General features: G+C 60.3%; 2 protein-coding genes, 1 long non-coding RNA gene and 1 other non-coding gene across 6 annotated transcripts in view, besides 5 other annotated features; 2 read left to right on the forward strand and 2 right to left on the reverse strand.

Moving 5' to 3' along the window:
* The window catches only part of GPC1 (glypican 1), a 32,414-nt gene extending 13,541 nt beyond the window's left edge, over nucleotides 1-18,873 (forward strand). Inside the window, exons 1-9 of one of the 2 annotated variants that reach the window (XM_047443961.1) lie at nucleotides 5,629-7,034; nucleotides 9,827-9,985; nucleotides 12,988-13,379; nucleotides 14,144-14,309; nucleotides 15,413-15,543; nucleotides 15,653-15,772; nucleotides 15,874-16,007; nucleotides 16,270-16,445; nucleotides 16,855-18,873. In XM_047443961.1, coding sequence (XP_047299917.1) covers nucleotides 9,877-9,985; nucleotides 12,988-13,379; nucleotides 14,144-14,309; nucleotides 15,413-15,543; nucleotides 15,653-15,772; nucleotides 15,874-16,007; nucleotides 16,270-16,445; nucleotides 16,855-17,087 — 1,461 coding nt within the window. In that variant the 5' untranslated portion in view covers nucleotides 5,629-7,034; nucleotides 9,827-9,876 and the 3' untranslated portion in view covers nucleotides 17,088-18,873. Of the gene's footprint in view, nucleotides 1-5,628; nucleotides 7,035-9,826; nucleotides 9,986-12,987; nucleotides 13,380-14,143; nucleotides 14,310-15,412; nucleotides 15,544-15,652; nucleotides 15,773-15,873; nucleotides 16,008-16,269; nucleotides 16,446-16,854 lie in introns of those variants that run through there. The other variant, NM_002081.3, reaches the window with a different exon arrangement.
* On the reverse strand, nucleotides 176-7,497 carry GPC1-AS1 (GPC1 antisense RNA 1). Its single transcript, NR_161169.1, has 3 exons — nucleotides 7,394-7,497; nucleotides 1,408-1,719; nucleotides 176-718 (listed from the first exon to the last, which is right to left on the reverse strand). It is a non-coding gene; the product is annotated as a GPC1 antisense RNA 1 (long non-coding RNA).
* Nucleotides 3,553-3,602: a silencer, noted in NCBI's record as "silent region_12511". NCBI's record gives its function as "represses an Ori minimal core promoter by ATAC-STARR-seq in GM12878 lymphoblastoid cells {active_cell/tissue: GM12878}" and the evidence as "EXISTENCE:reporter gene assay evidence [ECO:0000049][PMID:35858748]".
* Nucleotides 6,098-6,748: an enhancer, noted in NCBI's record as "H3K27ac-H3K4me1 hESC enhancer chr2:241394718-241395368 (GRCh37/hg19 assembly coordinates)". NCBI's record gives its function as "activates a minimal SCP1, AML or CMV promoter by ChIP-STARR-seq in naive H9 embryonic stem cells {active_cell/tissue: H9 hESC(naive)}" and the evidence as "EXISTENCE:reporter gene assay evidence [ECO:0000049][PMID:30033119]".
* Nucleotides 6,798-6,886, forward strand: MIR149 (microRNA 149). The gene has a single exon (NR_029702.1). It is a non-coding gene; the product is annotated as a microRNA 149 (primary transcript).
* Nucleotides 8,701-9,352: an enhancer, noted in NCBI's record as "H3K27ac-H3K4me1 hESC enhancer chr2:241397321-241397972 (GRCh37/hg19 assembly coordinates)". NCBI's record gives its function as "activates a minimal SCP1, AML or CMV promoter by ChIP-STARR-seq in naive H9 embryonic stem cells {active_cell/tissue: H9 hESC(naive)}" and the evidence as "EXISTENCE:reporter gene assay evidence [ECO:0000049][PMID:30033119]".
* Nucleotides 9,353-10,002: an enhancer, noted in NCBI's record as "H3K27ac-H3K4me1 hESC enhancer chr2:241397973-241398622 (GRCh37/hg19 assembly coordinates)". NCBI's record gives its function as "activates a minimal SCP1, AML or CMV promoter by ChIP-STARR-seq in primed H9 embryonic stem cells {active_cell/tissue: H9 hESC(primed)}" and the evidence as "EXISTENCE:reporter gene assay evidence [ECO:0000049][PMID:30033119]".
* Nucleotides 10,003-10,653: an enhancer, noted in NCBI's record as "H3K27ac-H3K4me1 hESC enhancer chr2:241398623-241399273 (GRCh37/hg19 assembly coordinates)". NCBI's record gives its function as "activates a minimal SCP1, AML or CMV promoter by ChIP-STARR-seq in naive and primed H9 embryonic stem cells {active_cell/tissue: H9 hESC(naive and primed)}" and the evidence as "EXISTENCE:reporter gene assay evidence [ECO:0000049][PMID:30033119]".
* Nucleotides 18,874-19,428: 555 nt separating the features above from the next.
* The window catches only part of ANKMY1 (ankyrin repeat and MYND domain containing 1), a 92,433-nt gene continuing 85,614 nt past the window's right edge, over nucleotides 19,429-26,247 (reverse strand). For both annotated transcript variants that reach the window (NM_001393464.1, NM_001393465.1), the window contains exon 13: nucleotides 19,429-19,997. In NM_001393464.1, coding sequence (NP_001380393.1) covers nucleotides 19,648-19,997 — 350 coding nt within the window. In that variant the 3' untranslated portion in view covers nucleotides 19,429-19,647. The remainder of the gene's footprint in view (nucleotides 19,998-26,247) is intronic.

A 26,247-nucleotide genomic window follows, 5' to 3' on the forward strand; every position in this document is an offset into this window, starting at 1 on the left:
TCTGAGACCTGAGTGGGGGAGCCAGGGATACGTGGGTGCGCAAGCATGCATGGGTGCCCAAAGGTGGTGGGCTGCTGCGGGTGGGGAGACCTGTGTGATTCCGGCAGGCGCCCCCCCCCACCCCCACGCTGCAAAGGGCCGCCGGACTTAGCGGATGCAAAGACAGGACACGAGGTACATGGGAATTTCAGGTAGACCCTGAATCATTTTGTAGTGCAGTGTGTCCCAAATACTTTCATTTCAAATAAGGAAATAAATGTTGAGAGTAAATATGCCCTACATATTTAGTGTAAGTACACCCCAGATATTTTTGGGGAGAAGAGTTGTTTGCTTTTTGTGGCAAAATATGCATAACAAAATTTGCCAGTTTAACCATTTTCAAGAGTTCAGTTTTCAGTGGCGTTCAGTCCATTCATGCTGTTGTGCGGCCGTCACCCCCATCCAGCTCCAGGACCCTTTTCATCTTGTAAAACTGAAACTCTGTCCCCATTAAACAGTAACTCCCCATTTCCCCTCTCCACCGCCCCTGGTGCCCGCCATCCTTTCAGTCTCTATGAATCCGACTCCTCTAGGGACCTCACATAAGTCGAGTCTTGCCGTATCTGTCCTTTCGTGTCTGGCTTCTTTCACTCAGCGTCGTCCTCAAGGTTCCTCCACGCCGGAGCATGTGTCAGAATTTCTTCCTTTTCACGGATTAATCCTATTCCATTGTATGCACCTACAGACAGTTTGTGGAAACAATCTATTCGACTGTGGAGAGACATCGTTTCTACCTTCCGGCTCTGGTGAATAATGCTGTGAGCATGGGTGTATGAGGAGCTGTTCCTTTTCCTGCTTCCAGTTCTTTGGGGCCAAATACTTTCATACTGTACTAAAATAACAATTCATTGTTTATCTGAAATTCAGATGTAACTGGCCCCCGTGCTTTATCTGCACTCGTCCCCTAATTGTGGCTGTGGGGCAGGGCTGGGCAGAAGCTCCAGCCCACACACCTGCCATGCTGGGCAGGCAGGCAGAGGTGCCTGGGCGGCCACCAACTCATCAAAGCCCTAGGGAGACGCCCTCCTGGGACCGCCCAGACCTCTCTGGGCTCAGCAGGGCTTGTCAGCTCCTGCTTCAGCCTTTGCCTGCAGCTCAGGAATTCCCCTGGGATTGGAGTCAGGGCAGGCTGCAGGGTTGGGGAGGCGGGGGATGCTAAGGCTGTTCCTCGTGCTGGGCCCCGTGCTGCTACTCCTAGCCTGTGACCTTGCACAGGTCACTTTAGCTCTCTATGTGTCAGCTATGTCAGCGGGACCTACAGCTGCTGTGAAGATGAAATGACTCGGCTTAACCCCCTGCGAGGCCCATAGTGAGCTCTGCATCTTAGCAGGGAGACAGCTAGACCTCTGGGAACAAGGGAGCCCTCACCATGTGTGACCTCCCATTCAGGGGCGTGCCCCGTCGAGCCCCGTGCTTCCTCTGGGGAGGAGGTGCTGGCTTGGGGGGGTGTGGCTCGTGGGCCATGCTGGCAGTGGGTCGTGTTCGCTCCAGTGCCAACACTGGGCAGATTCCCCCCGACATCATTTAGACGTGTGCCTTTATTCAGTACCAGGGTACCAGGGCCGGCCTGGGTGCCAGGTAGGGAGGCAGGAGCAAGAAAGTGGAGGCTCCCCTGGCAGAGGTTCCCTCTGGAAGGAGCATGGCTTGTTGGGACTGGAGGCCAGAGGCTGGGGAGGCTTCCTGAGGGAGGTGAGGGGAAAGCATGTGAGATGGAGGGAAGTGGCAGGTCACAGCTGGGTGGGGTGACTGGGTGGAGTGACTGGGTGGTGGGGGTGGGCGCAGGGAGAGCCAGGCCTGGGACCACCATGACCACAGAGATGGCTTCTCGGGAAGTGGTTGGGTCGGAGGTGAGCGGCCGAGTTCCTTTGCTCCCTCCCCTTCTGTTCCTTCCCCAGTGTTTATGAGCCATCCCTCTTGGCGGGCTCCCTCCAGAGGCACCCAAGGGTTTGCTCTGGGATCCGGCCCAGCCTCAGCTGTATGTGTGTCTCTGCCTGGTTGGCATTCACGGGGCAGATGGACGGGCCTGCGCGGCGTCTTTGTGGACTGGAATGTGGCTGCTGCGTCCCCTTCTGCGTTTCTAGCGTGCCCCCTGTGGGTGTAGCAGACAGGGAGGGCCAGTCCATCTTCCAGGCCTCCTTGGGTGCCTGTGGCCCCTGCAGTGGGTGTACGGGAAGCTAGATGGGAGAGCTGGGCAGAGCCCCAGGAGGACAACCCCACCCTCCCACAGCCTGCCTGAATTTCCACCCTGCTGGCAGGGTTGGGCATAGAGATGTGAGTGCCCTCTTCAGCTCCACCAAGCCAAGGAGGAGAAAGGCTGAGCCAGGCCTGGGGGCACGGCCTCTGGGGAGCACCTCATCCTGGGTTCGAAGAGTGGGCTCTGCCTTACAGCCAAGACACCGGGTCCTGGGTGTGGCAGGAGGTTCGTGACACAAATTCTGAATCCCCTTTCATCCCCAGTCTGAGGCCACAGCATGAGCCTCAGACAGTGGAGCAGGCTGGCATGGGGGGAGGCCTGCACAGGGCACGCGGCTTCTTGGCCCGAGCTGTGACTAGGCTCCCATCTGATGGACCCCTGCCGTCGTGCCATGCCAGGGCCGGCACCGCCCAGACCTGGCGTCTGCCGGCAGGATGGCCTGCTCAGGGGTTCCCCAAGCAGGATCTGGGCAGCTTAGAGAGCAGTCTTATGAGTTGCCTGGTGAAAGCCCCGTCTTTGGGGGTCTCCGGTGTTGTGGCCTGCCTTGGTGGTCTGTCCAGCAGCTCTCAGTGTGCCCATTGCAGACCGGCCGAGAGGCCGGAGTGCGGCCAGAGGGGAACTGGTGTGAGTGGGTGGTTTTGTCTGGCTGGGTCAGCAGGCCTGGGGAAGGTGGGGAGCTGGGCCGGGACAGTGGGAGCCACGCAGGACCTGGGCTGCAGGGAGGGGAGGGTGTTGGCGGGAGGCTGTCCCTCTGGTGTCCAAGGAGGGGCCAGAGGCGCACAGCATAGACCTCCCAGGCTGGGGGCACCTGGGTGGGAGACTTGGTGGAAGGATGTGGCCTGTTGGGTTTGGTATGTCAGAGGGAAAGCAGGTCAGGATATAGGGGCAGGGGGGTCTGGAGTCAAGGCCCGGGTGCCATTGGACTGGGGGCTGGAGGGGGCAGGTAGAGGATGTGGAATGACCATGGCAGCTTTGCGTGAGGACAGCGGTGGTCAGCTGCCACCTTCAGCACAGAGAGAAACCCGACACCCCGCCCCCATTACCCTCCGGGGAGGGGCCCCGGCTCCCCCGAGCGCCGGCCCTGCTGAGACCCAGGAGCCCCTGCACCAAGGCCTGGGCCCGCTTAGCTGCAGTGGGGAGCCTAGGAGGCCCGGACTGCCCGCGGAGAACAGGAGCAGCACCCGCAGGCGGGAGGGAGGGGCCCGGCCTCGGCGGCGGGCAGGAAGGCGGGCGCAGGGCGGCGGGGACCTGGCCGGAGGGGCCGGGGCGGCCGCCTGCGGTTTCCAGGGAGACGGGGGCGGTGCCGAGCGCGGCGGGGCGGGGGCTGCGGGAGGACGCTCGTCCCCGCGCCGGGAGCCACCGCCCTCGGCCGTGCGCGCCAGTGCGGCTGCGGCGCTGCCCGGGGTGGCTGCGGCCAGAGTCTCCCGCGCGCCCGGCGGACCGCAGCCCGCCCTCGTCCCCCGCTGGCTTTTCGCCTCCTGCGAGCCCTTCCGCCCGGCCCCGCTCCGCCGCCTTTCCCCGGCCCGAGCACCTGCACCCAGAGCCCGCGCGCCGCCCGGAGCCGCTGGAGCCGCCGCTGCGAAGGGGGTCCCGCGTCCGCCGCCGCGCTGGAAGCCAGGCCCGAGGACCTCTCCCGCAGCGCCACCGTACCCGCATCCGCAGGCGCGCCACCCCCATCTCCACCCGCTCCTCGTCCCCACCGCCTCTGTCCCATCCTCCGCTCCGTCCTGCCCCGCTTGGCCGCCGCAGCCCCATCCCCTTTCCGCCCCTCCTGTCGGGAGTCCGTGGCCCGTCCCCAGTCCCACCCCACCCGTCGCCCCAGCTGCACCTACCCCTACCCCTCCCGGGCCGCATCCCGGCGTCCCCGCCCCGCTCCCACCGCCCGCCCCGCTCCCACCGCCCGCCCCGCTCCCACCGCCCGCCCCGCTCCCTCCGCCCGCCCCGCTCCCTCCGCCCGCCCCGCTCCCTCCGCCCGCCCCGCTCCCTCCGCCCGCCCCGCTCCCTCCGCCCGCCCCGCTCCCGCATCGCCTGCCGCCGCCCCGGGGCCCCCCTTCCTCTTCCGCCAGGCCCATCCCCCTCCCCGGGCCGTCGCAGCCCTTCGAGCCCCCTCCCCCACCCCCGTGCCTGCCGCACCCGCTGCGACAAGCCCCTTCCCCGCCAATCGCGGCGCCCCCCTCCCCTCGCCTGCCCGCCGCAGCCCCCTCTCCCCGCCCGCCCCCTTCCCTCCCCGCCGCGCCCACTGCACCAGTGCCCCCTCCTCGCCGGGCCGCCGGCGCTGCTGCGTGTCCAGACCCCTGCGCACCCGCTCCGGCTGCGCGGTTTGCCGTCTTCGTCCCTGGCCGCGGCGGCTGGCGACTGGCATCGGGGCGCCCGGGACCCCCAGGGCGGCGACGCTGCCGCCGGTGCCGCCGAGCCTTTGTTCCGCCGCCGGGGCCGGTTTCACGCCTGTCGCCCTCGCAAGCAGCCGCGGGTGACAGGAGCCTTAGCCGGCCTGGGGCGCGGACCCTCCCACCCGGGGCAGAGGTGTCCCTACGACGCCCCTCGGTTTCGGGTCGCAGTGCGCGGCGGAGGTTCTGCGGCGGCGGAGGGGCTCCTTGGCGACGCTGTCATTTGGGTGAAATGGTGGCGGGGGGGCTTCGGGCAGACGGCAGGGGTGTGGGGAGGGGAGGGAAGCACGATGGGGTGAGTCTGGGGGCCGTGGATGCCGTTGACGAGGAGCTGAGATGCCGTGGCCGGTCCACCTCGCAGGTGGGGCCAAGGCTGCCTCTGGCTCAGACGTCAGGAGCCCAGGCGGACAGGGACTGGCCAGGGGCGCAGGCTTCTTAGAGGATGGGGCAAAAGTGAGGAAAAGATCCTCTGCAGCCTGGGCAGTGGGTGGTCCCCAGGAAACCCCCTGGGTCGTTTGTCCAGTGCACCCTCACCCCAGGAGGCTGCTGGACGTGCCGGAGGATGCCACAGCCACCGGAGCTGGTTGGGGTCCGAGAGCAGATGGGCCAGGGGCTGGGGCAGGCTTCGAGAAGAGGGTTCGGGCTTGGGGAAAGCCTTCGCAGCCATCGGCCAGCCAGGAAGGCCCCGTTGCCGGGTGCAGAGCTGAGTAGAGGGCAGGAGCGGGGAGGCCTAGGCTCTTCCCTTGCGTGTTGGGGGGCTGCGGTGCCTGGAGCTCTGCACACAGCCCTACTCCAGCACCGTGGGAGGCAATGCAGGCTGACTGTCCACGCCAAATTCCGGTACCTTAGGCATTCGAGTCTGTTGACACTGAGTGTCTAGGACGAGGCTGTAAAGGTGGATAAAGCCGGCTTTACAGTCTGCACCTCCTGTGTGAGCCGTGGAAGCTTCTGGAGGGATGGGCGTGGCGTGGCGCCATCATCTCTCTGCATTCTCCTTGGGAGGGCTCCAGAGCCACTGGTCACGGGCAGCTGCCAGGCTGGGTCTGGACAAATGAGGTCTGGGTCCATCATTGGGGATGGGGGCCACTGTCAGGATGGGAGTCTCGCCTAAAGCTTTGGGGTGAAGGTGCTGATGACCAAGAGGAAACTGCGGGGTGGGGACATGTCAGCAGGGGACGAGAATGCATGACCTAAAAGGTATCCAAAGTTAAGGCTGGTGGGGGCTTAGTGAGGAGCAGCAGAGTGGGGTGGTCCAGAACCGTCAGGATCGGGAGGGGGAAGATGGAACGAGACAGCAGCTGCCTACGAGCCAGGGAGCAAGAGCTCTGTGCTTTAACCTGAGGAGCAGGAGCCTGGGAACTGGAGACTCTGGGTTTGAGGTGGGGGATGAATCTGCCATTAAACAAATAATCCCCTTCCCCCCCAAAAAAATCCTCAGAGCACTGGGGAAGGGAAGTGTCCCAGTGACTGAGGGAGGGGAGCGCTGTGGAAGGATGGGTCGGCTACAGCAACTTCAGCCCAGGGATCAGGGAAGAGAGGGTCCAGTCCCTGGCCCAGCGGGGAGCAGGCCCGGTGACCTTGACCTGAGCAGCCCCAGGGCCAGAGGGAGGGGTGGGCCGGAAGGGCCCAGATGCCTCCCTGCACGGGGGGAAGGGGATGGGCTGCCGGGACTCACCCCCTAGGTTGGAAAATGCCTCCCTCTGGGTTGGAGGAGGAGAAAGGCCAGGAAGGAGAGGGAGAGGGACATGGGGAGGGTTCCCTCCTGGCCTGAGGCCTCTCTATCCCCAGGTGTTGAGCTGAGAGAAGTGGTGGGGAGGCCCCTGGGGGTGGGGAGGCCCCTGGGTGGGGAGATTTAAGATGACAGCTGGTCTTGGGCACATTGCTCTCCATTCAGAAAGGCCCCAGCCCCTGGCATTCTTCCAGGAGGGGGCTTGCTTTGCCGCCCTGCAGGGGGACTCTGCAGAGCCGGCCTCTGCCATCTCATGTCCAGGACCACAACCTGTGGCCCCGGCCTGCGCCGGGCCGGAGCTCCGCAGAAGGAAGCCAGCGGGAGGCCTCCTGCCTTTGACTGCCGTGCGTCCAGCCTGCAGCGGGCCTCAGGGGGCCGCCTCGATCCAGCCTGCCCGAGGCTCCCAGGCCTTCGCCCGCCTTGCGTCCAGCCTGCCGGGGGCTCCCAGGCCGGCGCCCGAGCTCTGGCTCCGTGTCTTCACTCCCGTGCTTGTCCGAGGAGGGAGGGAGGGACGGGGGCTGTGCTGGGGCAGCTGGAACAACGCAGGTCGCCGGGCCGGCTGGGCGAGTTGGCCGGGCGGGGCTGAGGGGTCGGCGGGGGAGGCTGAGGCGCGGGGGCCGGTGCGCGGCCGTGAGGGGGTGTGAGAGGTGGCTGACGGCGCCGAGGAGCCCCTCAGAACCTGCAGGTGGGGGGAGCTCCCATATCTTACGGGTGTTTCGGGCCTCACCTCTCCATGCCTCTCGTCAGCCTCTCCCGTCTGCGTGGTGGGGGCTGGGGAGTGGGTCCGCCGGGACCTCGCGAGGGAGGGGCACAGGAGGAGCCGGCGGGGGACGCCACCCACCCTCCTCCCTAGGAGTGCTTGAGCCCTAGTCCTGAGTCTTGGACCAGCTCACTCGGTTCCTGTGGCCCAGCCAGCCTGGCCTGGGTGCCCCGTCACAGCTGAGCCCATCTCAGCTGAGCCCAGGGTGTGTCACCGGGAAGCTCAGCTGGCACCTGCCACCCCCTCCCCCAGGCACGTTTCCCTCCCACTGCCCAGCCCATTACCATCATGTGTCCGGCTGACCTGTGCTCTCCTGGTCTGGGCAGCCTGGATGGGTGCACAGGGCCCCATCACAGCCCACACCCTCGGAGAGACGCCTCCTGAGTCTGCTCAGCCTGGCACAGGCCCCAGGAAAGGACCCGGAGGGGCGGTTCCTGCTCTAAATCCTGCCCCCACGGGGGTGGGACTGGGGCAGAATCCCATCAGTGAATAAAGGCTGCAGAGTGAAGGATGGTCCCTGGCGAGTGTACCTGTGTCCCAGTCTTCTTGCCTGAGGGCGCCTTCCCACCCATGTGAGGAGTGGGGAAGGAGCACCCCTTCTCTACTAGGCCCCAGGGCTCTCAGAGCCGGGCTCTGTCCTCACCCCAGCTGGCTCCCACAAGGCCCTCCTGGCCCCAGACTCTGTTGGACCCCCAACTCCCCCTCCAGCAGGCATCTGGAGGTAAGGAGGGGCGGGGGGCGCAGGTGCACTTGCCATTCCCGCTCTGTCTGCAGCATGGGCACATGTAAGTCCAGGCCCTGGGGAATCCCTGGACCTGCAGCCCCTGCGGAGGACTCCCTCCCCCTCTAGCTCAAGCCAGAGCCCCCTGCATCAGTACATTCCAGAACTCAGACAGGAAAAGAGGGCAAGGAGGGAGCGCTCCAGGATAAGAACCCCTACCTCGGCCCTCCCTCGCTCTCCCAGGCCCCTCTGACAACCTGTCTCCTTGCTGTCATGTCAGCAGGCACAGAGGCTACAGGGGCCAAGCGGCAGCCGCCCAAGCCCGGATTCGGGTTCTCTGTTCCCTTCTCTTGTCTCGGGCTCCTCCCTGAGTGTGTGTACTTAGAGGGTGCGGAAGATCAGCAAACTCAGTCTGACCCAGGCATTCAACCTCTGGGTAGTTACCTAGTCCTGGGTCCCCACCCCAGATGGCCTCTAGTGGGTAAGGGCTTCCTGGACCCCAGGCCTGAGGGGTGACTTCTCTTGCAGTAAGCGGGTAGGGCACTGCCTGCGCTGCTCCAGGCCCTGCCTGCAGTGGGGCTACAGATCCCTGCTCCCACCTCCAGGCAGGGCTGGAGCTGCTGCCAGCTCCCCCAGGACAGCCTCGAGCCAGGTGCCTCTGCCCGGGCTGACCCCGCCCTCGGTCCCGGTCCTGGCTCCCTCTCCTGCCTCTCCTCCCTGGCCTGGCCTTCACTTCCTGCTGACCCTCAGGAGGGCGTAAAAGAATGCAGGACCTGCTGCATTCCAGCCACCCTGGCCCAGGGTCCCAGAACAGGATGAGACAGGCCCCTGAGGCGGCAGTCCTGAGGAAAGTTGCTGGAATTCCTGCTGACAACGCCCCCCCTTGACCCCACCCCTCTGACCAAGCCAGGCTCCTGCTTCCACCTCTCCACTGTGCCTGACCTAGGCCAGCACCAGGAGGGCCTTAGAGGCGGGGGACGAGGCCCAGAAGGAACAGTGTGGCCCCGTCAGTGTGGAGTCCTGAGCTTAGGCAGCCGGAACCACTTGCCCCCTCACTGTATAGCTGGGACGAGACCTCATCCCTGTAAGCCCCGGTTTTCTGGTTAATAAAATGAGGATTGCGGCAGCCTTCATCACAGTGCGATGCACACCCTTTAAAAAATGCAGTTTTTCCTGATGCCACACACCCATTCCAGGTGGGCCCTGAGGTGTGCACAGCAGGGCTGAGAGCTGACTCAAAGCCTGTCCTGTCCCCACTCCCCACAAGGAGGTGAAGCTGTCTCTGATGGCAGTGCCGCTGTCACTGCCTCGGACGCTGGAGCAGAGTAGCTCATGGCAGGCTGCAGAGGAGGGGACTCCACAAGGACACCAGGAGGCACAGGGTGCACCCTGCAGGGCTTGGGGCATGGTCCAATGACCCTTTCATGGGGCCTGCCAGCTGCACCAGAGCACACCTGCCCCCATACCAGACTCGTGCCTGGGGTCCTGCAGGGCCACTGCCTCTGACCAGCCCACTGTTGGTGGGATCTGCCGTCCTTGCAGTGGGAGCTTGGTGCCCCCCAGGGCTGGTGTGGGAAGAGAGGGGGATTGGATTCCTTCCTCCTTCCCCATCCTCAGACATGGGCCCAGGCAAGGGGTGCCTTTCGGGCCTGGGAGCCTTCTCCACACTTGCACACAGGAACCTGAGGCCAGTTCTTTGCTTGCAGCTGCTGGGACAGCAGGCTGGGGGGCAGGACTTGCCCAAGGGGCCTCCTGCCCTGTAGAGGCAGCCGTGCTCTTGTGTCACGTGTGGGAAGCTACGGGACCGAAGCCAGGCCTTTTCCTCCCTCCACACCCCGACCACTTCTGCCTTCACCCAGGGCACCCCCCAGGCTGGCCCACCCCTGAGCTGTGCTCCACCCTGGGTCTGCCATCCTGCCCAGGAGAGCCTGAGGGTGCCCTCCTGGCTCCCAGTGCTGTCCCAGCCCCTCTCCCTCACACTGGCCTTTCCCCACAGGTGAGCACCTGCGGATCTGTCCCCAGGGCTACACCTGCTGCACCAGCGAGATGGAGGAGAACCTGGCCAACCGCAGCCATGCCGAGCTGGAGACCGCGCTCCGGGACAGCAGCCGCGTCCTGCAGGCCATGCTTGCCACCCAGCTGCGCAGCTTCGATGGTGAGTGCCTCCCACGGGCGCTCGGGGCCCGCAGGGTGCCGGTGCATCGGGGGAGGGGCACACTGGGCCTTGCCTGGTGTGTCAATGCCAAGGGTGGGGGATTGGCAGGAGGAGGTGGGGGAGTTAGTGCTTTGGGGCTAGGGCGCTGGGTTGAAGCCCCAGCTGGGATTTGGGGGCTGCCCTCAGGCAGGGATCTGCAGGGTTTGACACCCCCCTGGGAGTGTGCACAGCCCATTCCCAGTGCACATTTGGGGACAGAGGGCCTATCCCATCAGCCCCTCAGAGGCTCCTGTCACCAGCAGATTCTCCTGAGCACCTGCAGGGAGACAGGCCTTGGCCAAATCCTGCCTGCAGCTCGTCAAGTGCCCCAGGCCACTGCCCCTGGGGACCAGGTGGCCTGGAGCCAGGGAGCTCAGTGCAAGGGCTGAGACTGGGGCTGGGGACAGGGCTGCAGAGTGCAGGGCCTGCCTGGGGTGGCCGCCACTCAGCCCTTTATATCGGGGCAGGAGTCTGGGGGCCGCGGGGAGTGACCCCTGCAGGCCTTGAGGCCCCGCCAGCTGCTGCATTAGAGCCACGTACTCCTCGGCCCAGGCTGGGCCTCGCCTTGTGTCTGGGCAGAGAGTGGCAGCCACCCCCAGGGGGACAGTGTGGGGTCAGGAGGTCCTCCATGAAGTGACCTCTGATCAGAAACACGAGGACTTGGTGGAGGGAGGCGGCCCGGGCTGAGGTACTGCCCCTGTGTCCGGGCGGAGCCAGGGCGCCGGGACAGTGAGCCTGGGCAGACAGGAGGGAGGGAGCGCTGAGGCTGCAGGGCTCCATTGTGGCTGTGAGGGACGGCAGCTGCTGCTGGGGCCCTGGGGTTTGTCTCAGCGTTCCTGCTTCTCCGGCTCCTGGACACCTGCTGTGGCCTCCCAGGCTCCCGGGAGAGTCTGCCTGTCCCCAGGAGCCCCCAAGGCCATTTCCACAGGGCTGTGGGACCTCAGCTGTTGGCGTACACCTGGGTAGCAGTGGGTCAGAAGCTCCCTCTCTGTGACTTGGACATCGATGCTCAGAGCTCAGCCCTCCCCGCTGGTGTGGGGCCCGTGGGATGCGCGTGGCCCCTCTGGGACTCTCCTTCCTCCTGCCCAGCTGGACCCGGGGAGCGAGCCCCTGCACCCTGAGTCAGGAGCCTTCCTGAGCCACTTGGTTCTGTCCCATGTGTAGGGACCCGGCTCACCTCCTCCACTCTATCCTGGGCCTCAGTTTCTCCCCAGCGCCGCTGAGCCCTGGCTCCCGCCCCAGCGTGCCACCCAGCCCTGCCCCTTCCCCTCTCCTGCTAATACCCTTGCCCATCACACCATCCTCCTGGCCTGGGGACATCCTGCCCGCCTGCTTCCTCCTGGCTCTTAGGGGGTTGGTGTCGCTGCCCTGCTCTGGGGCCTGTCCCGTGTCAGTGCCCTGCCGCCGCCCTCCCTCTGCTGCCCTCTGGAAGCCTCCAGCCTTCCTGTTCAACTCTCCTATCTTTGACCTGAAAACACAGACACCCTTTGGGGACATTTGTATTAAAAATGACCCACTATGTGATGTGCCCAAGGCCCACCTGTGCCCCTACCCCAGGGAGTCTTGTCCAACCCCCACCTCCTATGTCCTCCCCTCCCACCCCTGCCCATGGCAGCTGCTGTCCCCTCCCAGCCTCCGGGGCAGCTGAGGGCCCCTGGGTCTTTGTCTGCAGTGCTGGTGGGAACCAGTGGGAGGCGGTAGGAGGGGAGCCTGGCTGGACCTCTGGTTGCTGTGTTCAGGGATTTGGAGCCCTGTGTCCGCCCCCCCACCAGCCTTCAGGAGCAGCTGAATGGGTTCTGGCAGGAGGTAGAGCTGGGGACTGCACCTGGATTTGGCCCATGGCCCTCTAGGTGTGTCTGGGCTAATGCATGAACCACAAGCCGCCCCTTTCCGGGACAGGCCAGGGCGTTCCAGGCGCCAGGACCCAAGGTGGACACTGGACAGCTGTGTGGCCCGTCCACCCTCCCCACAGCGGCCTGGGAGCTCTCTGTAGCCCTGCCAGCCCTGAAGCCCCAGGCCTTGCCAGGGGTCAGCGTGGGGGCTGATCCAGAGATCTCAGGCTTGACGGCCCCCGTGCCTCAAAGGAGAGCCTCTGCCCTGCTACCCTGGAGCACCTTGTGGTGGGCCATCGAGCCCCCGGTACCTGTGGGGCAAAGCCGGCCACAGCCCTAGGGACGCTCTGAGCAGTTACAGACCTGGAAGTCCCACTTCCAAATGGGATGGGGAAGTCCAGGGTCCCATCTAGGCCCGGGGTACGGGGGCTTTTCCCTAAAGCCCCTGCAGCACATGTGGAGGTCTGAGGGTGAGCCTGTGCCTCCACACCCCCTGCCCAGCAGGGGAGATGTCTGGGGTTCTAGGCTGCAGGAGGCCCCCCAGAGCCCTCAGACAGGCCCGGGGTGCTCACAGCTGAAGCTTCTAAATCGCAGAAGCTGAGAGAAGACAAGAAGCCTAGGAGAGCAGCCGAGACAGGGTGGCGGGAGGGGCAGCAGCCCTGGAGACTCGCAGGGCAGGCGGCTGGGGCCACGGGGAGCACAAGTGGGGACCAGTGGAGAGAAGGAGCGGCTGGCAGGGGGGCACAGACCGGCCCTGCCCCTCTTACCCCAGTGAGTCCCCATCTCCACCAGCAGCCCCTCCCTGGGTGTTCTCAGGGGGTCACTGAGTCACAGAGCATCTGTTCTGCCCAGGGCTCAGCTCAGAAACTGCCACTGGAGCCCCAGTCAGAGGCCCTGAGACCCGAGAGGACCCCCTGCCACCTGGGCCCCTGCTCCCCAGGCCAGGGGGTGAGGTCTCGGGGCGCCCCATGGATGCCCACAGGGCCCACAGCCGCTGCAGTGTGGCGTCCGACTCCGAGGTCCTCAGAGTGTATCCTCAGAGCTGAGTCTCCCGGGCTGAGTCCCCTGCTCTGGTCCAGCTGCCACGGCGGGGGAAACATGGTCCCGATCACGCCCCCTCCCTGTGCGCAGACCACTTCCAGCACCTGCTGAACGACTCGGAGCGGACGCTGCAGGCCACCTTCCCCGGCGCCTTCGGAGAGCTGTACACGCAGAACGCGAGGGCCTTCCGGGACCTGTACTCAGAGCTGCGCCTGTACTACCGCGGTGCCAACCTGCACCTGGAGGAGACGCTGGCCGAGTTCTGGGCCCGCCTGCTCGAGCGCCTCTTCAAGCAGCTGCACCCCCAGCTGCTGCTGCCTGATGACTACCTGGACTGCCTGGGCAAGCAGGCCGAGGCGCTGCGGCCCTTCGGGGAGGCCCCGAGAGAGCTGCGCCTGCGGGCCACCCGTGCCTTCGTGGCTGCTCGCTCCTTTGTGCAGGGCCTGGGCGTGGCCAGCGACGTGGTCCGGAAAGTGGCTCAGGTGCGCACAGCCACCCAGGGCTCTCAGAAACCCCTCCAGACCCCCATGCTCTGCCCAAGGGACTTCCTCTTCCCCCTACTTTAACCCTGTGCCCCTGGGCCTCTGGGCCAGCCTCTGACCTCAGCCCCACAGCCTCAGTCCCTCCTGCATTGGCTGCTGCCCATGGCCTGCTAACAGCGTACCCACAGATGTGAGCCTTGCTCTGGGCAGGCGGCTCTGGGCTGGCCCATCCCTGCCCAGAACCATCATGGGCCAGGATGGGAAGGGCCAGGGGCTGGGGCTGGACGCTGAGCCAGGCTGTGGAGTGAAAGTGCAGAGGAGACAGAAGAGAACAACATGCGTGGGGGCCGGGCAGGGTGGGGCCCCAGAGCCTCGCAGGCCAGGGGGATGCCTTGGTCCCTTGCGGGGCACGTGTCAGACCCAGCTAAGCTGGGACATAGGGAGGGCGTCAGCCTCAGACCCACATGCCCTGGGTGGGAACTGCCCCCACCTCCAGGCTCCTGGGCAAGTCATGCCTTGGTTTCCTCAGCGGCATGCGGGTGAGGATATTCTTGCCTCCCTGTGACCCTCGAGATCATTAAAATGAGGGCCGTCTGGGCTGGCAGGCCCTGCGAGTCAGGCAGCGACCACCACGAGCTGGGGCAGAGCAGAGGCCTCCCCTGACTTCCCTCCAGAGCCCCCTACCCTGGGGCTTCGTTAGGGGCTGGCCGGGGCCAGGCACCCCCAGGGCCTCGGGGCCTGGCTTAGGGTCCCTTGCTCCCCAGGTCCCCCTGGGCCCGGAGTGCTCGAGAGCTGTCATGAAGCTGGTCTACTGTGCTCACTGCCTGGGAGTCCCCGGCGCCAGGCCCTGCCCTGACTATTGCCGAAATGTGCTCAAGGGCTGCCTTGCCAACCAGGCCGACCTGGACGCCGAGTGGAGGAACCTCCTGGGTGAGCCCCCACCCGCGAGAGCGGCCTGGAACTGTCTTGGGGAGTGCACGACTGGGGGTCCTGGGGGGCGGGTGGTCCCTAGCTTAGAGCTTGGACCCAGGGACCTGATCAGGGATGCCCTGACCCGGGCCAGATCTGGGTGGTGCTGCAGGGTTGAGGGGCCAGGGTGCCTTTTGAATGTCCTGAGTGATGTGTGACTTGGGGCAGCTGCCAGGGAGGGAGCCCTGTGGGGTCATAGTTTCTTGTCCTTCCCCACTTAGCAAGCACCTCGGTGTGCATACATGCCAACACGTGTGACTCATCGAGGACCGGCACTTGTTTAAGCTAACACATACATGCACCGTCACATGACAGGCTGACACATGCGAACTGGCGTGCTCACTTGCTGACACACAGTGGGCCAGTGCCCACCAGTACAGCGTGTGCTCCTGGGCGCATGTGATGACATGAGCTGGGCTGACCCGCATCAATGCCAACACGTGTGTGGTAATATGTACATGCTTATCCAGATCCACTAACATGTACACATGCTTACATGAGGGGGGACAGCATGCATCTGTGCCAACACGTGCTAGCATGTGCTGACACGGGGCCAACAGGTGTGTGCTAACGTGATGGGAGCTGACAAAATGCATGAGCTTTACTTGTACATGTGCTCACCGTGCACGCAACACACACATGAACTAAGGTGTACATGGGGGGGGCATGAGGTAAGCCAGCATGCATACACACCAGCTCACACGGGCTCATGTGCACACAAGCTGGACCAAGGTGAGCCAGCGTATGTACATGTCAACACCTGCATGAGCCAGCGTGGACATACGAGACACGGCAGGCCAGCAAGCATGCAGAATGGCCTCTGTGTATGTGCGTGTTCACCTGTGCCCGTGGCACAGGTGCACACGTGGGTGTGGGCCAAGCTGAGTGCACGTGGCCTGCACATGTCACACGGGCCAACCTGAGTGCACACGTGGGATCTCCCATGCTGACCCGTGCTGTCAAGACTGCATTAACATGCACACGTGGTGACGCCTGCGTGTGCGTGTCAACGCCTGTGTGCGCGCGTTAACGCCTGTGTGTCCGCGTGTTAACGCCTGTCCTAGACTCCATGGTGCTCATCACCGACAAGTTCTGGGGTACATCGGGTGTGGAGAGTGTCATCGGCAGCGTGCACACGTGGCTGGCGGAGGCCATCAACGCCCTCCAGGACAACAGGGACACGCTCACGGCCAAGGTGCGGGCAGGAGGACGTGACGAGCACAGCGGGGTGGGGGTCCTGGATGTGGCCCCATTGGGCTTGAGGGGCCCCACTACCCCCCAAGGACCCTGCAGTGTCTCTCCAGGTCATCCAGGGCTGCGGGAACCCCAAGGTCAACCCCCAGGGCCCCGGGCCTGAGGAGAAGCGGCGCCGGGGCAAGCTGGCCCCGCGGGAGAGGCCACCTTCAGGCACGCTGGAGAAGCTGGTGAGTGGCCCCTGCGTGTCCACTGGACCAGGCATGAGGGAGGCAGACAGGCAGAGGCGGGCGGGCCCTGGCAGCCCAGTGGCCTGACTGCTGCCCCACAGGTCTCCGAAGCCAAGGCCCAGCTCCGCGACGTCCAGGACTTCTGGATCAGCCTCCCAGGGACACTGTGCAGTGAGAAGATGGCCCTGAGCACTGCCAGTGATGACCGCTGCTGGAACGGGATGGCCAGAGGCCGGTAGGTGCCCACCTGGCTGGCACAGCCCTCCCTCCCATGCCGCCTCCATTGGGCTGTGCCTGGGCCAGGTGCTGTCTGCACGGGGCCACGTCCCTTGCTGGAGGGCTTGAGCCCCACTTCTCTGCGGCCTGTGTGGGCTCTGCTCGGTCCCTGGAAGCTGCTGGGCATCTCAGGCTCAGAGCGTGGGAGAGTGTCCTGCTCAGGTGATGGCCCTTTGCAGGGGCTGGAGCAGTGACCTGGGCTCTGCCTGCCTTTCCCCCAGGTACCTCCCCGAGGTCATGGGTGACGGCCTGGCCAACCAGATCAACAACCCCGAGGTGGAGGTGGACATCACCAAGCCGGACATGACCATCCGGCAGCAGATCATGCAGCTGAAGATCATGACCAACCGGCTGCGCAGCGCCTACAACGGCAACGACGTGGACTTCCAGGACGCCAGTGAGGGCAGGGCCTGGCCGGGCGGCCAAGGGGCCAGGGTTGGTGGGGGTGCCACAGGGGTGTGACTGCCCTCCGGGTTCCCCCACCCGAGGGGCCCTCTGCTCCGGCATCACCACAGTGAGTCTGAGGACGCTGTGCTGCCCAGGCACGATCACCGAGCCCTGCACCTCTGCGGCGCCCTGGAGGCCTGGCCGGGATGTCTGTTGGCTTTGGCTCCAGGGACCAAGGGAGGCAGCCCCAGGGAGTGAGAGTCTCCCAGCCTCAGGGGTCAGCGGGGATCAGGTGCTGCTGGTCCTGGGATTCCACACCGAAAGGATGTTGGGGTCACCTGGCACGGGCCCTTACAGGGTGGTGCTGCACTGGGGTCTCCTGTGGGGACCTGCCTGCCGGAGCCTCCTCTCCTTCCCAGGTGACGACGGCAGCGGCTCGGGCAGCGGTGATGGCTGTCTGGATGACCTCTGCAGCCGGAAGGTCAGCAGGAAGAGCTCCAGCTCCCGGACGCCCTTGACCCATGCCCTCCCAGGCCTGTCAGAGCAGGAAGGACAGAAGACCTCGGCTGCCAGCTGCCCCCAGCCCCCGACCTTCCTCCTGCCCCTCCTCCTCTTCCTGGCCCTTACAGTAGCCAGGCCCCGGTGGCGGTAACTGCCCCAAGGCCCCAGGGACAGAGGCCAAGGACTGACTTTGCCAAAAATACAACACAGACGATATTTAATTCACCTCAGCCTGGAGAGGCCTGGGGTGGGACAGGGAGGGCCGGCGGCTCTGAGCAGGGGCAGGCGCAGAGGTCCCAGCCCCAGGCCTGGCCTCGCCTGCCTTTCTGCCTTTTAATTTTGTATGAGGTCCTCAGGTCAGCTGGGAGCCAGTGTGCCCAAAAGCCATGTATTTCAGGGACCTCAGGGGCACCTCCGGCTGCCTAGCCCTCCCCCCAGCTCCCTGCACCGCCGCAGAAGCAGCCCCTCGAGGCCTACAGAGGAGGCCTCAAAGCAACCCGCTGGAGCCCACAGCGAGCCTGTGCCTTCCTCCCCGCCTCCTCCCACTGGGACTCCCAGCAGAGCCCACCAGCCAGCCCTGGCCCACCCCCCAGCCTCCAGAGAAGCCCCGCACGGGCTGTCTGGGTGTCCGCCATCCAGGGTCTGGCAGAGCCTCTGAGATGATGCATGATGCCCTCCCCTCAGCGCAGGCTGCAGAGCCCGGCCCCACCTCCCTGCGCCCTTGAGGGGCCCCAGCGTCTGCAGGGTGACGCCTGAGACAGCACCACTGCTGAGGAGTCTGAGGACTGTCCTCCCACAGACCTGCAGTGAGGGGCCCTCCATGCGCAGATGAGGGGCCACTGACCCACCTGCGCTTCTGCTGGAGGAGGGGAAGCTGGGCCCAAAGGCCCAGGGAGGCAGCGTGGGCTCTGCCAATGTGGGCTGCCCCTCGCACACAGGGCTCACAGGGCAGGCCTTGCTGGGGTCCAGGGCTGTTGGAGGACCCCGAGGGCTGAGGAGCAGCCAGGACCCGCCTGCTCCCATCCTCACCCAGATCAGGAACCAGGGCCTCCCTGTTCACGGTGACACAGGTCAGGGCTCAGAGTGACCCTCAGCTGTCACCTGCTCACAGGGATGCTGGTGGCTGGTGAGACCCCGCACTGCAGACGGGAATGCCTAGGTCCCTTCCCGACCCAGCCAGCTGCAGGGCACGGGGACCTGGATAGTTAAGGGCTTTTCCAAACATGCATCCATTTACTGACACTTCCTGTCCTTGTTCATGGAGAGCTGTTCGCTCCTCCCAGATGGCTTCGGAGGGCCGCAGGGCCCACCTTGGACCCTGGTGACCTCCTGTCACTCACTGAGGCCATCAGGGCCCTGCCCCAGGCCTGGACGGGCCCTCCTTCCCTCCTGTGCCCCAGCTGCCAGGCGGCCCTGGGGAGGGGTGGTGTGGTGTTGGGAAGGGGTCCTGCAGGGGGAGGAGGACTTGGAGGGTCTGGGGGCAGCTGTCCTGAACCGACTGACCCTGAGGAGGCCGCTTAGTGCTGCTTTGCTTTTCATCACCGTCCCGCACAGTGGACGGAGGTCCCCGGTTGCTGGTCAGGTCCCCATGGCTTGTTCTCTGGAACCTGACTTTAGATGTTTTGGGATCAGGAGCCCCCAACACAGGCAAGTCCACCCCATAATAACCCTGCCAGTGCCAGGGTGGGCTGGGGACTCTGGCACAGTGATGCCGGGCGCCAGGACAGCAGCACTCCCGCTGCACACAGACGGCCTAGGGGTGGCGCTCAGACCCCACCCTACGCTCATCTCTGGAAGGGGCAGCCCTGAGTGGTCACTGGTCAGGGCAGTGGCCAAGCCTGCTGTGTCCTTCCTCCACAAGGTCCCCCCACCGCTCAGTGTCAGCGGGTGACGTGTGTTCTTTTGAGTCCTTGTATGAATAAAAGGCTGGAAACCTACAGCAGGGCGAGGCCTCGGGGGGAGAGAGAATGTGTGCGTATGTGTGTGTGTGTCTGTCTGTCTGGGGCTTGGGCATGGACCACACTTCCGTGTTTGGGGTGAACGTGCAGCCCCTGCCAGCTGCGCCCTTCAGCCTGTCTGCAGCTCCACCTTGCCCTGGACAGACTCCGGTCTGTCCGCCCCTCTCCTTGGTGCAGGGGAGAAGGAAAAGGCCAGGGCACGGAGACCCAGATGGCCTCCAGCAGGCCCCACCTCCCATCTACCTCTTCCTGCCTCCTGCCCCTGCTCTGGGCACACACAGCACAGAGATCCTCTACCCCTGGAAGGTTCTGGTTCCTGCCAGGTGGCCTCAGAGATGCCCAAGGGGCTAGAGAGAAGGAACCAGCATTGTCCCAAGGATGCCCTGGTGGTCCAGTTTGTCCCCAGCCACCTTTCTCTCGAGGCGGAGGGTCCTGTATAACCCTAGGGGCTCCCTATAGCCCCGCTCCTGTTCCTGTGGGGTCATGGCCAGAGGCTAAGTGGCACGGCGGCACTGGCAGAAGCGCCCACTGTTCTGGGTGTGTCCCTCAACTGCTTTATTGAGAATTGCAGCCAGTACAGGTTGGTCTGGTGAACATTTTTAACATTGCGTTTCCATCATCTGGGACCCAGGAATAGAGGGCCCCCTAGCAACTGGGACCTCCAGGCCCCTTGTGAGCGTGAGAGCACAGAGGGGTGGGTGGGCACCCCAGGAGGGAGATGCAGCTCCACCCAGCCCTGCTGAACTCCACTGCTTAGTAGGTCCCAGCTCCGGGCAGGACGAAGGGCTGCACACAGGCCTCCCACAAAGCATCTGCAGCCGCCAGGTCCCTGGTAGCCACGGTCCTCACTTGCAGGCCCCTCCGCAAGTCCCAGAGGCCCGGCTCCTCCCCTGGGAAATGAGGGTGGGGTGGAGTCCTCTCCGTGGCGGGCCAGGGGATGCAGCCTGGGGGCTCAGCGGGGCCCCTAGGGGACAGGTGAGCAGCCAGACACTCATCAGCGGCTGTAGTTGTGGACAACGCATTTGGTCCAGCCGGCAGGATCTCAGGCTTCCAGGCACCACCTTGCCCAGCTGCTTCAAGACTTCCACAAGCCCTTTTTGAACCTGGGCAAATGCATCTTTCATGTCAGGGAAAGGAGGACACAGGTGCGTGTGCACTCTGTGCAGAGCCGACACCACGCCAGGAGTGGGTGGGCAGGGGCACCCGGCTGGTCTCAGCCCTGCCTTCCCGGCCACACCTCAGACCACCAGGGAGCTCCCAAGTTCTGCCCACCCTAGTGCTGCCCCAAGAGGCTGCTCAGGGAGAGACCCCTTCCAGCCAGGGCTGGCTCTCAGTCCCTCTCGGTTCCTCACAGGAATTCCAGAAGCCACAGACAAACTGACCCACCCACACTGATGGGCAGAGAGCAGCCCCTCAGTCAGCCTCCCTTGAGCAGCTCAGCCCAGCCGTGGTGGGTGGCCCCAGCGTCTCCCACACCATCTGCAGGCAGCCCCGGCAGGCCAGCATGGGTGTCTGCTCCACACGAACATACACCCATCACACGGTGCACACACATGCACATGTGCACTCCACATTTACACACACAAACGAACACATACAACACCCTGTACATGCACACACAAGCACACATATCCATACACGTGCACACACTTCTGCACATGCACGTCCTCACATGCCCACATGCCCATGCACATGTGCACACTCCTACACATGTACACACATGCACACACATAGGTATGAACACGTACAATGCCCTGTGCATACACACACAAGCACACATATCCATACACGTGCACACACATCCTCCTGCACATGCATGCACTCACATGTACACATGCCCATACACATGCATGCACATGTGCACAGGCCTATGCACGTGCACACATGTAGACAGGTACACATGCCCATACACACATGCACACATTACATACATGCACAGTATACACGCATGCACTCACACAGAGACAGACACACCCGTGGGTGCACACACTGCTCCTGTCCAGGTGACCCTAAGTATTCTTTATCTGGGGACAAGGCCCTCTGTCGAGAAACACCATTTATAATCGCAGTGCTCCCTTGAGTTTGGGACAGACGACTAACTCCCACCTCTCAGTCCACCTTCCTCCTGCCCTAAGCCACTACTGAAATCATGGAAGGACCATAACTGGGCGTCCATCTCTCCAACAGACAGCATGTGTCACAGCCATCAAAGAAGTGGGTAGAGTCTAGGGAAGGTGGGATTCTGAGAGACCCCAACAAGGCCACCACAGCTTTCCTGAGGGGAAAGCACACAGGCTTCACAGACGCCAGGGCTGTGGATGAGCCGGAGGCAGTCACTGCCCAGCAAGCTCTCCCCGTGTGCACAGCAGCCCCTCCCAGATGAGACCACCCCACAAAGCAAAACCAGTGAGTCTAAACATTTCCCTCCTTCTTTCATATGGCCTGGAAATATGAACAGGAACCCTCATGGTTTCTAGCACAAACCCATGTTTACACTCAATCTGGGAAAGCACAAAAAAAGAGCCAGTAAAAAACTCATAGGAGACGTCAAAATATGCAGCATCGGCCTGGGAAGTCAGACCAAGCGTCCTGATGTGAGAATTAAAAGAAACAGGAGGAAACACTGGGAAATGTTGACTTTGAAAAGATCACAGCAACACAGTAGACTCAGCTAAAATAACCCCCTCTCCTCACAGACACGTTGAAATTCTGGAAAAAGTCAGTTTCGCAAAGTTAATACCTATCTGAGGTCACAGGAGAGCTAAAAACCTCATGTGCTGAAAAGAAAAACAAAGTGAGAGGCTTCAATGAATGGGAAGTGGGGAGAGTGGTGTATCAGGCACAGAAATACCCTCTCAGGATAGAAGCTTGGGGTGAGGGGTACCCACAGACCTGGGTGAGGGCTGGGAGCTGGAACTGGAACCCCAGGTGACCTGGAAACCGCAAAGAAACGAAGTTCTCCCTATTGCCAGAGATGGGCCAGGGAAGCTTTTGCTGCCTAGGGATCTGGGCAGGAAAAAAAAAATCCTCCTTTTTGAAGAATCAGTGGCTGGTGACAAAAGATAATGAGTAAATACAAAAGTACCTAGAGGGTTTGTCCACAGTGAGGAAGTGAGATTCCCTCAGAGAAATCACAACGCCTCAGGGACAGGAACTCAAATTCTTTTTTTTTTTTTTTTTGAGACAGAGTATCTGTCTGTCACCAGGCTGGAGTGCAGTGGTGTGATCTCAGCTCACTGCGACCTCTGCCTCCCGGGTTCAAGCGATTCTCCTGCCTCAGCCTCCCAAGTAGCTGAGATTACAAGATTCTTTAAAATTTCAAAATGAAAAAATAAAATAAAATCTGCCACCAGAGCCAGCAGCACCCTGAGAACTTTAGATGACAGAGCAAACTGAAATGGTCTATAAAATAAGTATTTTGTGTTATCAAAGCGAAAAGGGGGAGAAATAGAAACCATAAGGATAGAACAATTCCATTTTTAAAAAGAAAAAACAAGGAGATTGGAAAAAGTACCAAGTGGAAGTAATGTCAGCAAGATGGCAGAACAGGGGACCCCCTGCTTTTAGCCACCCATTGCAACAAGAATTTGGCAGCCATCCACACACAAAAGTGCCTTCGTGGGAGCCTCAGGACTCTGGTAGGAGGCTGGGAAATCCTGATGGAGCCCAACTGAGAAGGGCTGTTTTAAGAGGGCAGGTTTGCACCCAGGTTGCAGCTCGCCAAATGGGGTCCTTTGCAGATCCAGAAATGGCCTCATCCCCCTATGGACTCAATGGCAGCCTTGTTTGGCTCTCCTGACACAGGAACCATCTGCCCAGGGATCTCCTGGAAGATACCCCAGTCCATCCCCCCTGAAGGCAGGCCCACCAACCTTGGTTCCACTGCAGATCCCGAAATAGCCCTGTAAGTCAGCTCCAACCCCTCAGCTGCAGTCTGAAAGCAGTCCTGCCTTCCCAAGGACGTGCTGGGAGACACTCGTCTGAGTTAGGCCACAAAATCCCAAAAGAAGTGTTGAAATGGTTCTGAGTTTACTCCATCCTTCCCCAGTCACAGTCCTGGAGCGGTCCTGCCCACCCAGGGATACTGAGACAAGCCCAGCTGTACGCTGGGAGGCAGGCCTACCAATCCACGGCCGCACGCGGGGAGGCAGGCCTACCAATCTACGGCCGCACGCGGGGAGGCAGGCCTACCAATCTACAACTGCACAGGCTGAAGGAGCCCTGTGACCCAGCTCCAGCCCCACTCTGCCATGGTCTGAAGGCAGTCCTGCCCTCCCCAAGAACCTGACAGGAGGCATGCCCATCTGTGCCCCCAAAGGCAGGCCTACAGACCTCAGTCTCAGCTGTGAGCCTTAAACCAGCCTTGTGACTTGGTTTCATCTCCTTTTAACCACAGTCTGGGGTCAGTCCTGCCTGTCAGGGACTCACGCAGTGACTGAGTGCACCCTTGTCCCAGAGCTAGCCCTGTTCCTCAAGGTCTTAGAGGCAGTCCAGTCTGCCCAGGGACCAGACATGTTCAATGCCTGCTCCTTCCCTGAATAGACTCACCAACCACAAACCCCACTGTAGACTCAGCAGCAGCCATGTGACTAAACTAATCCTGGAGGCAACCCTTCAGAGACCCAACAGATCTTTATCTGCCAAAAATCAGTCTGTAAAGGCTGAAAGAGGTGTTTGCTGCTTCAAATTGAGACACCAATGCAAGGCTCTATGAATAATAAAGAATCAGGCCAACATGATGCCACAGCTGGGCATGGTGGCTCATGCCTGTCATCCCAGCACTTTGGGAGGCTGAGGCAGGTAGGTTGCTTGAGGTCAGGAGTTCGAGACCAGCCTGGCCAACACGGTGAAACCTCGTCTCTACTAAAAATATAAAAATTAACCAGACATGGTGGTGCATGCTTGTAATCCCACTACTCAGGAGGCTGAGGTGGGAGAATCTCTTGAACCCGGGAGACGGAGGCTGCAGTGAGCTGAGATTGTGCCACTGTACTCCAGCCTGGGCGACAAGAGTGAAACTCTGTCTAAAAAAAAAAAAAAAACAAAAAAAACCACCAAAAGAAACTAGTAAAGCTCCAGTAAGTGATCCCAAAGAAATAAAGATCTATAAATTGCCTGACAATTCAAAACAATCATCTTAAAAAAACTCAATAACATGCGAGATAACTGAGACAACCAAAAAAATAAGAAAAACAAATGCATAAAATGTAAAGTTTAATAGAAAAATGGAAACCATAAAAAAGAACCAAATAGAAGTCCTAGAGCTGAAAAACACAATGACAAAATTGAAAAATTCAATAAAGAGCTTCAACAGACTCGATCATACAGAAGAAAGAATTGGTAAACTTGAAGACAAATTATTTAAAACTAACCAATTAACCAAAAAAAAAAAAAGAATAAAAAGGAGTAAGTATTAAAGAGTGAAAAAAGCATACGGGACCTACGGAGACCAACAAGAAAATAAATATGTGAATTATAGAAGTCTCAAAAGAAGACAGAAACAAAGGGGCAGAAAGCTTATTTAAAGAAACAAAGGCGGAAAACTTTCCAAAGTTGGGGTAGATATGGACAGATTCCATATGGATGTGGATATATGTTGATGCAAGGTTCAACATATGAAAACCTATAAATGTGATACACCATATTAACAGAATAAAGGATAACAATCATATGGTCATCTCAATAGATACAGAAAAAGTATTTGACAAAATTCAACATCCTGTTTCGGTAAAAACTCTCAACAAACTAGATACAGAAGGAATATACCTCAACATAATAGAGGACATATACAACAAGCCTACAGCTAACATTACACTCAATAGTGAAAAGCTGAAAGCATTTCCTCTAAGATCACGAACAAGACAAGGGTGCCCACTTTCACCACTTCTATTTAATGTGTTATTGGAAGTCCTTGCCAGAGCAATTAGCAAGAAAGGAAATAAAAGGCATCCACATCAGAAAGGAGGAAGTTAAACTGTCTCTGTTTGCCAATAACATGATCTTTTTTTTTTTATTTGAGACAGAGTCTCACTCTGTCGCCCAGACTGGAGTGCAGTGGCGCAATCTTGGCTCACTGCAAGCTCCGCCTCCCAGGTCCATGCCATTCTCCTGCCTCAGCCTCCTGAGTAGCTGGGACTACAGGCGCCCACCACCATGCCTGGCTAATTTTTTTTTTTTTTTTTTTTTTTTTTTAGTAGAGACGGGTTTCACTGTGTTAGCCAGGATGGTCTAAATCTCCTGACCTTGTGATCCACCCGCCTCGGCCTCCCAAAGTGCTGGGATTACAGGCGTGAGCCACCGCGCCAGGCCAACATGATCTTTTAAAAAACAACTTTTAGGTTCAGGGGTACATGTGCAAGTTTCTTATATAGGTAAACTCGTGTCATGGGGGGTTGTTGTACAGATTGTTCCATCACCCAGATACTAAACCTAGTACCTAATAGTTATTTTTTCTAATCTCTCCAACCTCTTACCCTCCACCCTCAAGTAGGATTCAGTGTCTGTTGTTCCCCTTTTTTGTATCCAAATGTTTTAATCATTTAGATCCTACTTAATATAAGTGAGAACATGTGGTATTTAGTTTTCTGTTCCTGCGTTAGTTTGCTAAGGATAATAGCCTCCAGCTCCATCCACATTCCTGCAAAGGACATGATCTCATTCTTTTTTATGGCTGCATAGTACTTCATGGTGTATATGTACCACATTTTCTTGATCTAATCTACCACTGATGGACATTTATATTGATTCCATGTCCTTGCTATTGTGAATACAACTACAATGAACATATGTGTGCATATATGTCTTTATGGTAGAAAAATTTATATTCCTTTAGGTACATACCCAGTGATGGGATTGCTGGGTCAAGTGACAGCTCTGTTTTTAGCTCTTTGAGGAATCACCACACTGCTTTCCACAATGGCTGAACTAATTTACATTCCCACCAGCAATGCATATGCATTCCCTTTTCTCTGCAATCTCACCTGTATCTATTAATTTTACTTTTAATCATAGCCATTCTGACTGGTGTGAGATGGTATCATATTGTGGTTTTGATTTGCAGTTCTCTAATGATCAGTGATATTAAGCTTTTTTCATATGCTTGTTGGCTAGATACATATGTCTTCTTTTGAAGAGTGGACATGATCTCTTACATACACAAAATTCTAAAAGTTCCACCAAAAAACCTGTTAGAATAAATGAATTCATTAAAGTTGCAAGATACAATATCAACATACAAAAATTAGTTGTGTTTTTATGCACTAACAATGAACTATCTGAAAAGGAAATTAAGAAAACAATCCCATTTACAATAGCATAAAAATAACAAAATACTTAGCAATAAATTTAAGCAAG

The sequence above is a fragment of the Homo sapiens genome, chromosome 2 (assembly GCF_000001405.40).
Source record: "Homo sapiens chromosome 2, GRCh38.p14 Primary Assembly".
Taxonomy (NCBI): domain Eukaryota; kingdom Metazoa; phylum Chordata; class Mammalia; order Primates; family Hominidae; genus Homo; species Homo sapiens.